Source organism: Homo sapiens, chromosome 8 (genome assembly GCF_000001405.40).
Source record: "Homo sapiens chromosome 8, GRCh38.p14 Primary Assembly".
Lineage (NCBI taxonomy): Eukaryota > Metazoa > Chordata > Mammalia > Primates > Hominidae > Homo > Homo sapiens.
The window spans coordinates 30,495,351-30,510,288 of record NC_000008.11 but is presented as its reverse complement, the minus strand read 5'-3'; the positions used below and the strand labels follow the sequence as shown (position 1 = coordinate 30,510,288).

At 40.2% G+C, this 14,938-nt stretch overlaps 1 protein-coding gene and 1 long non-coding RNA gene across 24 annotated transcripts in view; one reads left to right on the top strand and one right to left on the bottom strand.

The window, feature by feature from the left end:
- Nucleotides 1–14,938, bottom strand: part of RBPMS (RNA binding protein, mRNA processing factor) — a 187,716-nt gene that overhangs the window by 61,968 nt on the left and 110,810 nt on the right. For 20 of the 23 annotated variants that reach the window (XR_007060693.1, NM_001008711.3, XM_017012981.3 and 17 more), the window contains one exon: nt 5,853–6,003. Coding sequence is in view for 22 of the 23 variants with exons in the window: in NM_001008711.3 (NP_001008711.1) it covers nt 5,853–6,003 (151 nt within the window). In the remaining variant the exon portion in view is untranslated. Of the gene's footprint in view, nt 1–5,852; nt 6,004–8,710; nt 9,014–14,938 lie in introns of those variants that run through there. The other 3 variants (XM_017012985.3, XM_047421280.1, XM_024447055.2) reach the window with 1 other exon arrangement.
- Nucleotides 6,000–9,756, top strand: LOC124901929 (uncharacterized). The gene is made up of 2 exons (XR_007060882.1): nt 6,000–6,109; nt 9,579–9,756. It is a non-coding gene; the product is annotated as an uncharacterized LOC124901929 (long non-coding RNA).

Here is a 14,938-nt window from a genome sequence, read left to right as displayed (position 1 = left end):
TTCAATCAAATGCCAGAATTCAAGCAGCTCAGGAGCTGGTTTGGGTTTACTCGAGACATCAGAGTTAAGAGAGACTTCTCTCTGCCACTATTCCTCTTGCTCTGATTCTAGCAAGCGTATCTGTGCCATATGAATACACAGTGCTCTACAGCAACAGCAGCAGAGACTGAGGTGATGTTTTGTGAGAGCCCAGGTATTATTTTCGGCCCTACTGAGCCACTTAGTCTCACTTGCAGCAAAACTTTGTCCTAAAGATAAAGGGGTAAGTTAAATGATTTCAAAATTCAAAATGCAGAAAGAGATACATTTTATTATGTGCATATTAAAAGGTGTGTAAGGATAAGCACCAAATTGTTAATGGTGATTGTCTCTGGGTAGTAGAATTTAATGACTTTTATTTTTTTGCTGGACTGCCTGAAAATTTTTCTTCTGAGAAGCATGTAGGATTTTGGTTATGAGAAAAAAATGAAATAGAAAGTCTTGCCCTCAGAACACCTGCAACTTTTAGTCATTCCCTTGTGTCCCGTTCCTTCTGCCCAGATTGATTAGGTATTCCTCCTGCCCAGTCAGTCTTCATAAACAATGCCGCTGGAGAGCAGGCGTGAAACTGACAAGACATCTGCCAATCTTTCTAATTGTGCATGCCATGCACTGCTGCCTTGGAAAAAATGCAGGCACCAGGGCTCTGTACCATGGGATACAGGAAGCTTTAGATAGGCCCTGGATGACCTTGTCCCGCAGAGATGAATGTTAAGAGATTTCCTATTTGCTCAGTGTTGTCTCTGGGAGGGAATGTGTGAGATACTTTACAGGCTCTCCTGAACCTTCACAGGGTCTCTTCAGACATGAGACACAGAACTCACTTCCAGTTAGCGTAGGTTGTTACTGGATAAATGGGAACTTCCAGGGACATGGCAGGTAAACAAGGAAGTAATCTGATTAGTCACCAAAATGTTATGTGCTGATCAGGTATCTAAGAGTACTAATTTAACAGAGCAAGCTTTTGTCTGAGAGAGGGAAGGGAGGAGGGAAGAAGGGAGGAAGGAAGAAAGGTGCAGGGGCAAAGGAGAAGAATATGAAAGTAGGAAGGAGAATTTAACTTTAAAAATTCCTTGATTTATCAGTGACTCTCAACTGTGCATCAAAACTACCCAAAGAGCTTTTAAAAGCCTAGAGGGGAGGAAAATAAGAACAATTATTATTTTTTTAAAATACAGAGCCTACGTCCTAGCCCAGACCTGCAGAACCGGACTCCTTGGAGCTGGAGTACAGGAATCTTCATTACTGCAGAGTTCTGGAGCCTTTTGATATCTGCTTCATAAAAACTGAATCGAAAGGACAGGATCTGTCTAAACTGAGTAAAGGCTCTATTAAGTGTTGAATGCCTCCACCTTTAAGGGCACTATTATAATAAGGTATATTGCAAAGAGTATAAACTCATCAAGAACATTTATTCAATTAATTTCATATGTATTATGACAAACTAACCAAATGAGCCATCTTAAATATGTGCATTTTATCACATCCCAATCAGACCTCAGTAACACTGTAAGTTTAAAAAGTACTTTGAAGGGCACCTCTCTCCACACTTGCTGGGAATAAGAAAATCATGATCAATTGAAAAAAACATAAAAATAAAACTATGGTATGTTACCAAAAAAAAAAATCCATTATGTATTTATAGATGTGAGATGCTGAGTATACAAACACAGAAAAACTACAGGTCTTTTAATTATGAGGGACAAAAGGCACGTGAATGTACCCATTTTTACACACGCACACTAACAGTCACTGCGTACTGACTCTGTGGCCCTAATTATTGCCGCTGTGTAGCTGAGAAAACTGAGACACAGAGAGGTTAGGTAACTAAACCAAACTTACAAAACTAGTAAATGACAAAAAATCTAGAATTTAAGTCTAGGCTCTATCACTTGATGTATTGTATTTCTAGGGCTGCCATAGTGATATACCAGAGTGAGTGGCTTAAACAACAAATAATTTATTTCCTCACAGTTCTAGAGGCCAGTCTAGAGGTGTCTGTAGGGTTGGTTTCTCCTGAGGTCTCTCTCCTTGGCTTGCAGATGGTTGCTTTGTCCTCTGTCCTCACACGGCCCTTCCTCCGTGTATATACATACCTGGTGTCTCTTTTTCTTCTTATATGGATAGCAGTCATAATGGATTAGGGCTCCACCCCTAAGGGCCCCATTTGAACTTAATCATCTCTTTAAAAATCTTATCTCCAAATATGGTCACATTTTGAGGTACTAGGAACAGACACTTCATCATATGAATTCTGGGGGACACTATTCAGCCATCACACTTACTGACAGTGTTAACTCAGGAAAGTTACTAGACTTTCCCAGGCCTCAGTTTCTTCAACTGGAAAATAAGTGCTATTGAGAATGAAATGAGATAATTCACATAAAAATGCTTAGGAGAGGATCTGGCACACAGCATCATCACTTTACAGACGAGAAAAATAAAAATCAGTAACAGTGACTTACTCTTTCTTCACCTCCAAAGCAGAGTTCTTATTATAGAATACTACATTCCTGTACAACCTAATGCACAATCTAAGAGAATTTAATGTAATTTATAATTCTTCCTCATCTCTTAACTCCCGCTTTCTCACAGATCTTTTCCAACTTTATTACATACAAGGAAGAGAAATAAAAGCTCAAATTAATGATCAATTCTATTAATTTAGGCAGGTAGGTATACTACTTTCTTGAAATTGTATGTCAATTTCACTCATCCTTTCTCCTAACTTGCAAAGACAATTGGCTACACTCAAACTGTGATGACAACTCAGAAGATCAATATCTGCTGTAACTATTAGGAAAGAAAGGCAACCCAATGCTTTTTATTAACAAATTATGATTGTACTTTACGTTTGCCTAGTACTTTACATACACTATATCTATTTAATCCTCAGCCCAATCCTGGGATATTGTTTTATTTACCTCTCCTAACAATCAGAAAGTATTATTCCTATTTTACAGCTGAGAGAATAGGAGCACAACCAAGTGAAAAAAATTTTTTTCTCTTAAAGGTCACAAAGCTTGTCAATAATTGGCAGAATTATCGACAGGATTCTCAGTGACATCTTCTAGCCTGAAGCCAAAGTTCTCCACAGCAGGCCACCATCTACCCAGCTAAGTTGCAACACCTGGTTTTCTCACTCTCCATCCCTGGCACAAATAGAGCAGGTGCTCAGCAAATACGGCAGTCTGATTCGGGGTCAATCTCAACTAAGCTGCAGAATCTCTTATATGTCCTTCATATGGGGCCAAGTTTTTCTGACAACTTTGACCACCATCACCTCCCCGGAACGACAGCTCTTTTAAGGCAGCAACCAATTTCCTTCTTCTCCAGGGTCTAGCACATTGGGTGCTCGTTTAAGTTCATTAAGTTCATATATTTATGGAGAATTGAGAGTTCAAGTGTATGTGTGTTGTATAATCAAACCACAGAACATTCTTCCTTTAGTGATGGCAACGAGTGCTTTTCAGCCACTACCATATAAAAACAGTAACCAAAAGAAACATTTATAAAAAACCTCTATGGCCTACAACAAAGACTAGCCTTCAGGGCCTTTCCAATCCTCAAATTCTCCAATTCCATTATATTCTACACCTGATAAGTAGTTAAACTGACCACCTTGAGTACCAATTCTGAGTACAATGCAAGTGGGTTTGTCCGTGTAGACCCAACACAGTGTTCTTAGTCTTGCCGTATGCTTCCAGGTAAGCAAGTTGTATGTGACGGTCAAGTTCCCAGTTCCCAGAGGGAATGGCAATGGATAATAAGGTTGACCTGAGCCATAGTGGACTTGCTCTCCTCAAGATGCTGTGTCGTAAAAATGAGCTATATTAAGATAAATCATGCTGACTTTTATTTTCCTCAAGAATACACTGCTGGCTGCTTGGATTTTTTTTTTTTTTTTTTTTTTAAACTTCAAATTTGTGTTGCTGTGAACAGCTGGGCAAGTTTTTACCCTGTCATGGAAACTATCTGGCCATTTTTGCACTGTTCTGTATGCTGGGAAGGGAGGTGAGCAGAGCTTGCCAGAAAAGAGTTCTAAGCTCAGTTTCTATGCTCTCCTGTAACTTCAGGGACTTGTGAATGTCCAGTTTGTTCCTATTTGTTGCTTTTGTATAGCATGTCGTAATCTGGCTACAACCTTCCTGGCTACCTATTTCACAGGGCTGTTGTAGGAAATTCAGAAAAAGTTTCGTGGTCCTGTTAAAAAGAGCATTCAGCAAAGAATTGAAAAGGTAAAGTTAAGTATCACCAGCATTACATTTCCTGCCTGAATTAATCTTTTCAAAGAACTCTGAGATCTGAGGCTGGCAAATTCACTAAAAAGGCAAAGAATTACTTTAGGTTATTTTTACTAAATCAGGCATCCTAAAAATACTCTTTTTTGATGCCTTGATCAAGAGAGAAGAAATTTCAGAGAGAAGAGGCATACAAATGCATCTACAGTTCTACAAGTAGCCCAATTTCAGTATCAATTTATCCACTCACTATAATAAATATTAAATATATACAATATACAAAGTATTAAGCTAGATACTATAAGGATGAAGAATTATGTAAAAGATGTTCCTATATCCTCCTGTACTACAAGTACACTGTAAGATGTAACTTTTGTTTAGATTTCCTTCCCAAATAAGCAAAGGTTTCTAGTTTCCCTGGGACAAAGAAGGTGAAAGAACAAAATAATTTTTTTTAATCTATTATGACTTTCTGGATTCATAGAAACATTTATTTTAGAACATTCAGGGAGACTTATCTGTTAGTTTCTACTGATGAGTACCAAGAGTGACTGAACTACAGAATGGCTGTGACTTCCAAAGATAACCTGATTAAATCTGACATGCACATGACATGGGGGGAGCAAGGAATCCATGTGTCCTTCAATTTCAATAAGAAGAGTTAAAATGTACTATCGAAGGAAGAAGATCACAACCGTGTGGTTTAGAAAGCAGACCAAAAACAACAGGACAGAAATATTCCAAATAACTTGGAATCCAAGTCACTTGGGTTTCCTTGAATGCCCTGCCATATTAAATCACATATGGCTCTGCAATGAAAGGAGAAGTTAAGGCCTGTCTCATGCCCCACTTCTGCCACTGACTGAGCTTGAGAAAGCAAATTCAATCTTTTAAAGTTATTCAGGGAAAGGCAGAAATGGTAGTCTGGACATATAATGAAATAAGCTTATTAATGTGGGGTAGAAGACGTCTTGAGCAATTAGCCAGTGTCCTTATCCAATTAAGTTGGAAAAGAAAGCCCCAAATTTCCTTAAAGTTTTACTGGTATTAGTTTGCTAGACTGACAGTTCCAATATATACATTCTTTGTATGTGTTTACTTTTCCCCCTAGAGTTATGGCTAAACTGAATAGAACCAAATTCCCAAGATCTGCTTCTTTCTCTTTTAATATCCTATTTTTCCAAAGCCACCGAGCTGATGTCCTTCAACAAATGGATTAAAGTAAATGCTGAGAACCAGCTCTCGTGTCCGAGCAGGGGGGAATGAAGGGTTTATACCCAAGGCAACTAGGGGCATACTCATGATGGTCAATATAACATTAAGGAAATCTGTAGTACATCAAATGATATTCTGAAGTTATGGTTCTATTCAAGCTGAACCATCTTTTGGGAAGCCAATCACAAACAAGATTGCTGTATTTGGAATTCTGACACCAAGAACGCCTAGGCAACCTCTTCACAGAAATGGAAAATAAGACTCAGCCAGCTCCATGTCCCATGGTGTAACCTCACATGCAGCACATGAACAGTTCTTAGTTATTATTACTTTTGAATGAAAAGTAGATCGACTTACATGGCTCTCTGGCAATGAACTGAGGTACAGTGTTGGGCAGAGGAGTACTGGGGTTTGGAGTCCCTACGAGTTTGTTCTTGGCCATCTTCGTGTTTGCCTTAGCAAACTCTAGTCGTAGTGTTTGCGGAATTTCAGGATCGAAGCGGATGCCCTTTGGAAACAGAGAACAAATGGAAGATGTTTTCATTTCCTTTGAGTCAAACCGGAATGGTGACAAAATAAACACACCAGTAAACCCTGGTCTATCAGGAAAAAAGGTCAGCAACCACTCTCATTCTTACTACTTACACAGGTTACATGAAAAATGACAACACAAAGTGTCCCGAAAGTCAGTGGGATTTAGTTTAGTTAAAAAATGTAGTTACACAGATTTTCAACTATTCCTTTTCTTTTTAGACAAAAACTTTTCAGTTTAAAATTTGAACCAGCAAATTCCTAGCACAGTTACACACTTTAATATATAGTAATTTCAGTTACCTCTGACCCTATTCCTGCAGTTTACCTAAAATAGATTATATTCAGTAAAACAAATCACAGACACTATGAAAGACACTAGCGCAAGACAAGTCTATTTGGAACCTTTCCACCATTCAAGAATGTCTTCATTATTAAGCATCCAATACCATGAATTCTGGACCCTACGTGTCAAAAAGATATCCCAAGAGAGTGTATTTTAAATGTGCACCCATGGGACCCACTCAGTTCCCATGTTTTCATGGTGTGGTCTGGAAAGGGACTGGAGTCCTGAAAACGAGTCTCCTAAGAACACAGTTGCCATTTAGTGTTCTGAATGTACACACATGGGCCTGAGGGCTCCAAAGCATCCCCCGCCCCCTCGCCACCATTCTTCCTAATGAGCTTGAAAAAAAATAAGAGCAGGCAGGGCGTTGTGGCTCATGCCTGTCATCCTAGCACTTTGGGAGGCCGAGGCGAGTGGATTGCCTGAGCTCGGGAGTTCAACACCAGCCTGGGCAACATGGTGAAACCCCATCTCTACTAAAATACAAAAAAAAAAAAATTAGCTGGGCGTGGCGGCATGCACCTGTAATCCCAGTTAGTTACTTGGAATGCTGAGACAGAATTGCTTGAGCCCATGAGGCAGAGGGTACAGTGAGCCAAGATCGCGCCATTGCACTCCAGCCTGGGTGACAGAGCTAGACTCTGTCTCAAAAAAAGAAATATCCACAAAAACAAGACTCTCTTACTCTAGAGACCAGGATGAACAACTCTGAACTTCACAGGCTCAGCTTCAAGTATACAAGGAAGAGCCTGTGGCTGGATGGTAATGGCATTAACAGGAAACAAGGGGGGAAGGGGAAGGAAAGAGAGGTCCTTAGGGAGGCCTAACAAAAGCCACAGAGCCCTGACCCAGAAGTCTTGGAGTGGGTGGAACTTCATGAGCATGACTCACTCATTCTGAGAAGAAACCAACTGAGGGCAGTAGCAAAAGGGATGTGGAGAATACCCTTGTGCATACCTAATCAACACCAAAAAGCGAACAGATAGTGCCTGTTCTGTGAAACATAAGAACATTTTCTTTAACTGATATTGTGTTGTATTTTTGTTTTTTAAATTTGGGAAACCTCAGTATTATTTTGAAGAAAAAGTATATAAGGAAAAACAAAAACAAAAAGCAAAGCTGCATTCTGAAGCAGGCTGGGGTGAGGTCACAAAGGACCTCACTGAGGTGGACCAACTTCCACCCTAACAAAGCTAATATTACAACAGAATTAATATTTCCAAGAATGGACCTAAGAACTGTGGTCTCTGCTGGGAGGCAAGCACAGTCCCTGGGTGTTACGTACAGGTATGCTGTAAAAGGACTTCCTCATTTGCACCACACTCCATCAGACACACATAGTAGCAACTTGCCATCAACTTCAGGACGTCCTCCCCGGCACTAAACTTGACCAACCTTCCTGTGAAGAAGCAACTTTCCTAAACCTGAGTTCACATTAACCTGAGTCCTGTGGCCCAGGCCACTGGGGATGATGTGAAGAGTATCCTGGGACCTAGTTGTGGTCTAGAGCATCTAGCCTCAGAAAATGAGGCTGCACATGTGAATTCTATGCCTCAGCTCTTTCACTGGTGTTCCAGAATCAACTGAAGCTCCACATCATGTGTTTGCCTCTTACACAACCTGGGCTGGCGGCTTGAGTCCTAAAACATGCTGAACTAAGTCTCCCCTACTCCCTGCCCCCTTCTTCATACCCGCCCCCCAATTTGAACTAAAATAACATCAACATCATGTTCCAAATCAAAGTTCCAGCATCCTTATTTAAAAAAAAAAAAAAAAAGCTCAGAAGTTAAAATGACCTAATTTGTTTGGCAGCTTATTCAGAGGCCGGAGGCTTAGAATACAAGCCACATTCCTCTAACATCTTTAGCAGCAATACCATATTTGGTAATCAATATCCTGCGCAGCTAAGTTTCCATCCATAGGGATTAGCCAAGCCAAAAACATTTTAAATGTTAAGGGATGATGAAGAGGAGAAAAAAGAGGGGCAGGAAAAGGGAGAACACAGAAACGAAGAGGGAAAAAAGAAAAAGAGGCAGATAGGAAGAAGACAAGAGAAAAAAATTCCTTGTGTTTTTAATTAAAGCCTACTAAGATTCTTCTCTGGCTACAATTACTCCACATTAAATGCTGTCAGGATAAGATTACTGCCAAGTGAAAGGGTGAACCTGTGTCTTTCAAAAGCAACCTTTTCCTCTCTTGCTCATAATTCACCGTTCTTCTCACAATGAACAGAGAACCTTTCTCTTCCAAATGTAAATGGTGTCCTATTTATTACATGGACCAGAAAGGACAGTTTCTGAATATTAGTATATTAATTTGAATATAAACAGTTACTTACAAGCACCCCAATCTGACTGGCTACTGGACAGCCAACAGTCTCTACAAATGCAGGTTCCATATAATCTACAGAGGCTGAATTCCCTACTCAGGGCAAATTCTGGGAGATCTTTAAAAGGACACTGCTGAGAAACAACATATTCTTGTTCGTCCAGTATACTTAAAAGTATACCAGGGCAGTTTCATGCCAGGGAGCCAGGGAAGGCACCAGAGGAAGTGATGAAGAGTAGAAGTTCACCAGGTGCAGTTCAGGAAAGGGCTCAGCAAATTTCTCTGTAACAGGATGCAGAAAGGGTGTTGGGGTGGGAGGGGTCAGGGGTGGGGTGGCTGAACAAGCAGACTGGGGAGAGATCACAAAGGACCTCTTATGCCATGACTGAGGACTTTGGAGTGTGTGCTCAGCTAAGCCATTAGGTTTTAAAAATGGGGGGGATAATATGATCAGCTTTATGTAGTAGGTCTGTGACCCTCAAATGTTAGCAGCATCAACTTGGAGGATTTGCTAGAGTTTCTGGTTCAGTAGCTCTGAGATGGAATCTGAAAATTTGCATTTTTAACAAGTTCAGGGTAATGCTGATGCTGTTTGTGTAGGGACCACATTTGAGAATCACAGTGATTGGCGGTAACTCTAGGGGTGGTAGGGAAGACAGACTCAATGAAGGGACTAGAACAGATCAGATATGAAACCATTAGAGCAGCCCTGGGAAGAGAAGCTGGGATGAGATGGCTACTGCCCTCTAAGCCTTCTTCTTTGGGAAGGGTACTCAGGGGCCAATGTCTGTGTTCTGTGCCCTTATTCCTCTGACCACAGCTGCCTATTTAAGGGGCAGCTGCAGCCTAAAGTGACAAAACCTGTTTTCTCTTATAAGGATTTCAACCTTGAGCCTATATAGAGACACAGAAAATGGTGTTGACCAAAGCTGAGTCACCGTAACAGCCTCTCACTAGAGAAAAAGTCTCCAAATTCCTGTCACTGAGGTCTTCAGAGCACCCTCATACCTGATACAGTCTTGGTTATGTGGTACAATAAACAGAGTACTTCAATTCTGTTAGCTTCAGGCTCCCAGTGTTGTTACAAATGGTTCTGCGCTAAAGTTAGTCCATCAGTCCTTGACAATGAGTTTTAGGGACAATGGAATGACTCATTTAGAAAAAAAATGCTTAGAAACAAAGCAGAGCTATATATACATATTGAGAAAGATGTCCATGGCTAGATTAGCCTGAAAAAAAAAAAAAAAAGATACTCAACAATGTTTGGTAGTATGGGGGTAGAGGAGACTGTATATACATCTGCATGTATACTTCTCTATCTGTGTAAGTCCAGAAAGGTTTAGAATGAGACAACCAACCAGTTAATAATAGCAGACAACTTAGTGGTAGGGGTGAGAGAGGGCACAGACTTTTGTACAATTTTGCATCATTTGAAATTTTTACAACTATGTATAATTTATAAAATCCAATACAGAATTAAAAACAAAAGGAGAGAGGTGGAATAAGGGATTTCCTACTGGGACACAGCATTCAACCAGCTATGTTTTTAAAAACTAGTTACTTTTAACAAAGAACTTTATTCTGAAATAATTTCAGACTTACAGAAAAATTGCAGACATAGTATAATTCCTATATACCCTTTGCACAGATTTCTTAGATGTTAGCATTTCACATTTATCAAACACACACACACACACACACACACACACACACACACAGTTTCCCCTGAACTGATTAAAAGTAAGTAGCAAGCATGCTATTCTTTTACCCTTTACTTCAGTTTGATTTCCTAAAAACAAGGACATCTCTTTGTTTTCCTGATCCAAGATCTAATCCAGAATCACACAGCACTTAGTTGTCATCACTTTAGTCTCCTGAAAGAGTTCTTCAGTCCTTACCTTTCATGAGCTTGATATTTTTGAAAACTACAAGCTATTTATTTTGTAGAGTAGCCCTCGATTTGGGTTTATCTAATTTTTTTTTTTTGGTTTAGATTCAGGTTACGCATTTTTTGGCAGGAAGATCAGAGATGGATGTCCTGCACAGTGCATAATATCAAGAGGCACATGATGTCACTTTTGTCCCATTACGAGTGATATTAGCTTTGATCATTTGCCAAGTTTCTCTATTGTAAAGATGCTGTTTTCCCTTTTTAAGTAGTTTCTTATAGACAGATATTTCCAGACTATATAAATATGTTGTTTTTCAAAAAAATCTACTAGTTTTAACACCTATTAATAATTATTACCTGAAGCAACTGTTACTATTGTAGTTGCCAAATGGTGCTTTAGTAATCTCATTGCTCCTCCCTGCTGCCACCAGACGGAGTCTTGCTCTGTCACTCAGGCTACAGTGCAGCGGCATGATCTCAGCGGCTTACTGCAACCTCCACCTCCTGTGTTTAAGCAATTCTCCTGCCTCAGCCTCCCGAGTAGCTGGGATTGCCTTCATTGCTCCTTTTATATACAGTGTATCAGCTTTCTACTCCATGGAAAAGCTCTCCCTTCTGCCCTGTTAATTATTTACATCAGTAATGACTTACAGACTTATATTTAGCTCTATGCTTTATAATTCATTACTATCATTATTTATTTTGCTGTTCCAAGTGTCCCAGTTGTGTACACATACATGCCCTAACATTCAGATCTACTTCTCTGCATCATATAGATATATTTAAAATATTTTTAATTTTTATTTTAATAAACACATTTTAATATATTTAAAATATATTTAGATGTATTGAAGTTCATACTGATAGCTCCAATTCCAATCTAACACCATTTGGTTAATTCTATCCCTCTCCTTTGCCTATGTGTAACTCCTCTAATAGCGAGAATCCTAGCTCTCATTATCTACTATACATTTATTTATTTGCTCAATACAAAAATGCACAATTGCTAACCGATACCACTATAAAAAGTCTATTAACTACAACTTATATTTATTTACAGTTTTTTGTCTTTAGTCTAAATGTATGTTGCCAATATGTATATTATTTGGATTATTTGTGGGTTAGTTTCCCCATTCCCCCCACCTTCAGTGTGGTTGTGTTATTCATTTGACATACAGTTAGTCATTTGTTTCTGTCTTCAATTTGGAGTCTCTCCCCATCCTTGTTGTCTCCACTTTGCCTATGCATTCATAGCAAGTAAAAACTATTCTACCATTTCAAAAGTGAAAGCTGATTCATCGACCCATTCATCTTTCTGCTAACCCACTTATGAATATATATTATAAATATTGACTAAAAGCTGAGGATCTAGAATTCCAACTCCCCTCCCCACCTGCTTTGACTTTCTGAGATACTGAACTTCTCCAAGGAAGCTTCTAAATAATCAAAGGCTCTACCTCCTCTGGGATACAGCCACAAGTCACTTCTTTAAGAGCTTCCTATCAGATTCTGCTAGAGCTTCCTACACTTCCATTCTGATCTGTTGATCCAGTAGATCTGAGGCATATGTACTGAACTAGATGAAACTGCCTTTTACTATAGGATAAAAATAGTAAGGTAGTAGTAATATACGATCCCATCTAGTAGGCTGAAAGACTTCTTCAATTGATTCTAACAACCTTTATACTGCCCCTTCCTCCACGGCCAACTCCAAATGAAAACCCACAGCCAATGAAACTCAAGGTCAAATTTGCTACTATCCCTCTGTGACCTTGTGGCCGGGCTTGGTGGATCATGCCTGTAATCCCAGCACTTTGGGAGGCCGAGGCGGGCAGATCACAAGGTCAGGAGATCGAGACCAACCTGGCTAACATGGTGAAACCCCATCTCTACTAAAAATACAAAAAATTAGCCAGGCGTGGTGGCGGGCGCCTGTAGTCCCAGCTACTCGGGAGGCTGAGGCTGAGGCAGGAGAACTGTGTGAACCCGGGAGGTGGAGCTTGCAGTGAGCCGAGATGGTGCCACTGCACTCCAGCCTGGGCGACAGAGCAAGACTCCATCTCAAACAAACAAACAAAACAAAACAACAACAAAAAAAACCATTTTCTAGAGAGAGCTAAGAATAAAAGTCTTCTACCGGTTTATCATTTTTGAGACAGAGTCTCACTCTGTCACCCGGGCTGGAGTGCAGTGGCATGATTTTGGGTCACTACAACCTCTCTGCCTTTGGGGTTCAAGCAATTCTCATGCCTCAGCCTCCCGAGTAGCTGGGATTATAGGTGTGCATTACCATGCCCAGCTGATTTTTTATATTTCTAGTAGAGACGGGATTTCACCATGTTTGTCAGGCTGGTCTTGAACTCCTGACCTCAAGTGATCTGCCTGCCTCAGCCTCCCAAAGTGTTGGGATTACAGGCATGAGCCACAATAAAAGCCTTCTACTATTTTCAAAGAGCGTTTTGGTCACAAGAAAAGGAAATATCCTGGGGACCACAAATCTTTCAACAGGAGAAAAGGAAATGAAGCAGAAAGAATTTTTTTTGCCTTTTTAGAAGTTAAAAACATAAGTTAGGAATATAAACTGTTTCTTAAAATTGATAGCCATGTCATTTCCATCAGAAACTAGGAAGTAAATACATACTTTAGAGAGATTCTGAGCTCTCAAATATTGGTCCAAGGTTAAAATATATTTAGTTTTTTGAGTATTGTCAGCTTTCTCTGCCACAGGCATCATAATCGGTTATATCAGAAACAGAAACTAGGCAAGGTATAGTCGAAAGTTTCCCCAGGAGTCTGTGAAAACAATTGTTACGCTCAGTTGGAGCCTGAAATGACTCCATGACAGGCCACAGATAAACCCGCATCTGGGTAATCTATTACAGTGGAGAGCACAGGACTCACTGAGAGACAACAGTGTGCAGGTGAGTTAAAAATGAACCAGTAGAAGTTTTCTACCATTTATTAATATATCACTGTGTTACAAGTGAAAACTTGTGACACTCAAACATTTTTAAAATAGAAAACTATGAGTAAAGATCACAGGAATGGGAAGCTAGTAGAGAACTGGGTCAGGTTCTCTGATAAGTAATACAGGTTTGTCAACATAAATCATGAAATTCATAATTAGTACTGAACTTTTGGGGTCATCAAGCCTAGTTCTCAGCCATGGTTAGTACTCCTCATTGCCCTTTCCCCCTACTCCTTAGGAGTATTTAGAAATGAGTGAGGGTGGCCGGGCACGGTGGCTCACGCCTGTAATCCCACCACTTTGGGAGGCCAAGGAGGGCAGATCACGAGGTTGGGAGATCGAGACCACCCTGGCTAACACGGTGAAACCCCCGCTCTACTAAAAATACAAAAAATTAGCCGGGCGTGGTGGCGGACGCCTGTAGTCCCAGATACTTGGGAGGCTGAGGCAGGAGAATGGCGTGAAATCAGGTGGTGGAGATTACAGTGAGCTGAGATCATGCCACTGCACTCCAGCCTGGGAGACAGAGCAAGACTCCGTCTCAAAAAAAAAAAAAGAAATGCGCAAGGGTATCTGAAGGCTGTTATATGACTGAATACCACACAGGCATTCATTAGGCAGGAGGCAGGAAGATAAAGTCCTAAAAGGAGCAGGATAGTCCCACACAATGTTAAGAATTCTCATCCAAAATGCCAATAGGCTTCCCAACACAGATGAAAAAAGATCCAGAAAAATAATGTGCCTAAATTCCCAGCTAACTACTGGTAGAATCCATATCACAATCCAATTTTTAAATTCCCAATAGAGCGTGTGTGTGTGAGGACATTACAGTTCCGTGAAGATTTTTCTTTTATAAAGACTACATTGTTTCCAGATAATAACTGAGGCTGTTGTTCAGTTTGCATTGTGATGAAACTTAGGTAGATATGGATTCCAACAGAGAATGAACAAGTGAGGGAAAGAATCCGTCAGATGTAAACCGTATTTCATACTTTTCCTAAATAAGGGCATTGCTTGCAAAGACATCAGGACTGTTAATACAACAGCCTGTGCTGCTGGGTTACTGCCCAATGAGAAACTGTATCACACCAATTATGCCTCATTCTTTTTCTTAATCCAACTACCTCCCAGTGCTTGCCCTGGCTTTACCTTAGAATAATCTGATTTAATACTCCTTTTTTCCCTTGCCTAAATCAGTCATTTGAAAACATGTTTGCCTGTCCATTGGTAAAACAGCTATACTGCACTTGGAGAAAGAGACCCCTTTCCCAAGGCTTCCTGTGGTATACGTGCCCATGGAGCCATTAGAGGTGATGCTGGGCCATGAGTCTGGGCACAGTTTCTCGCTTGATTGCCTAATTGAACAGTCTTCCAGGAAG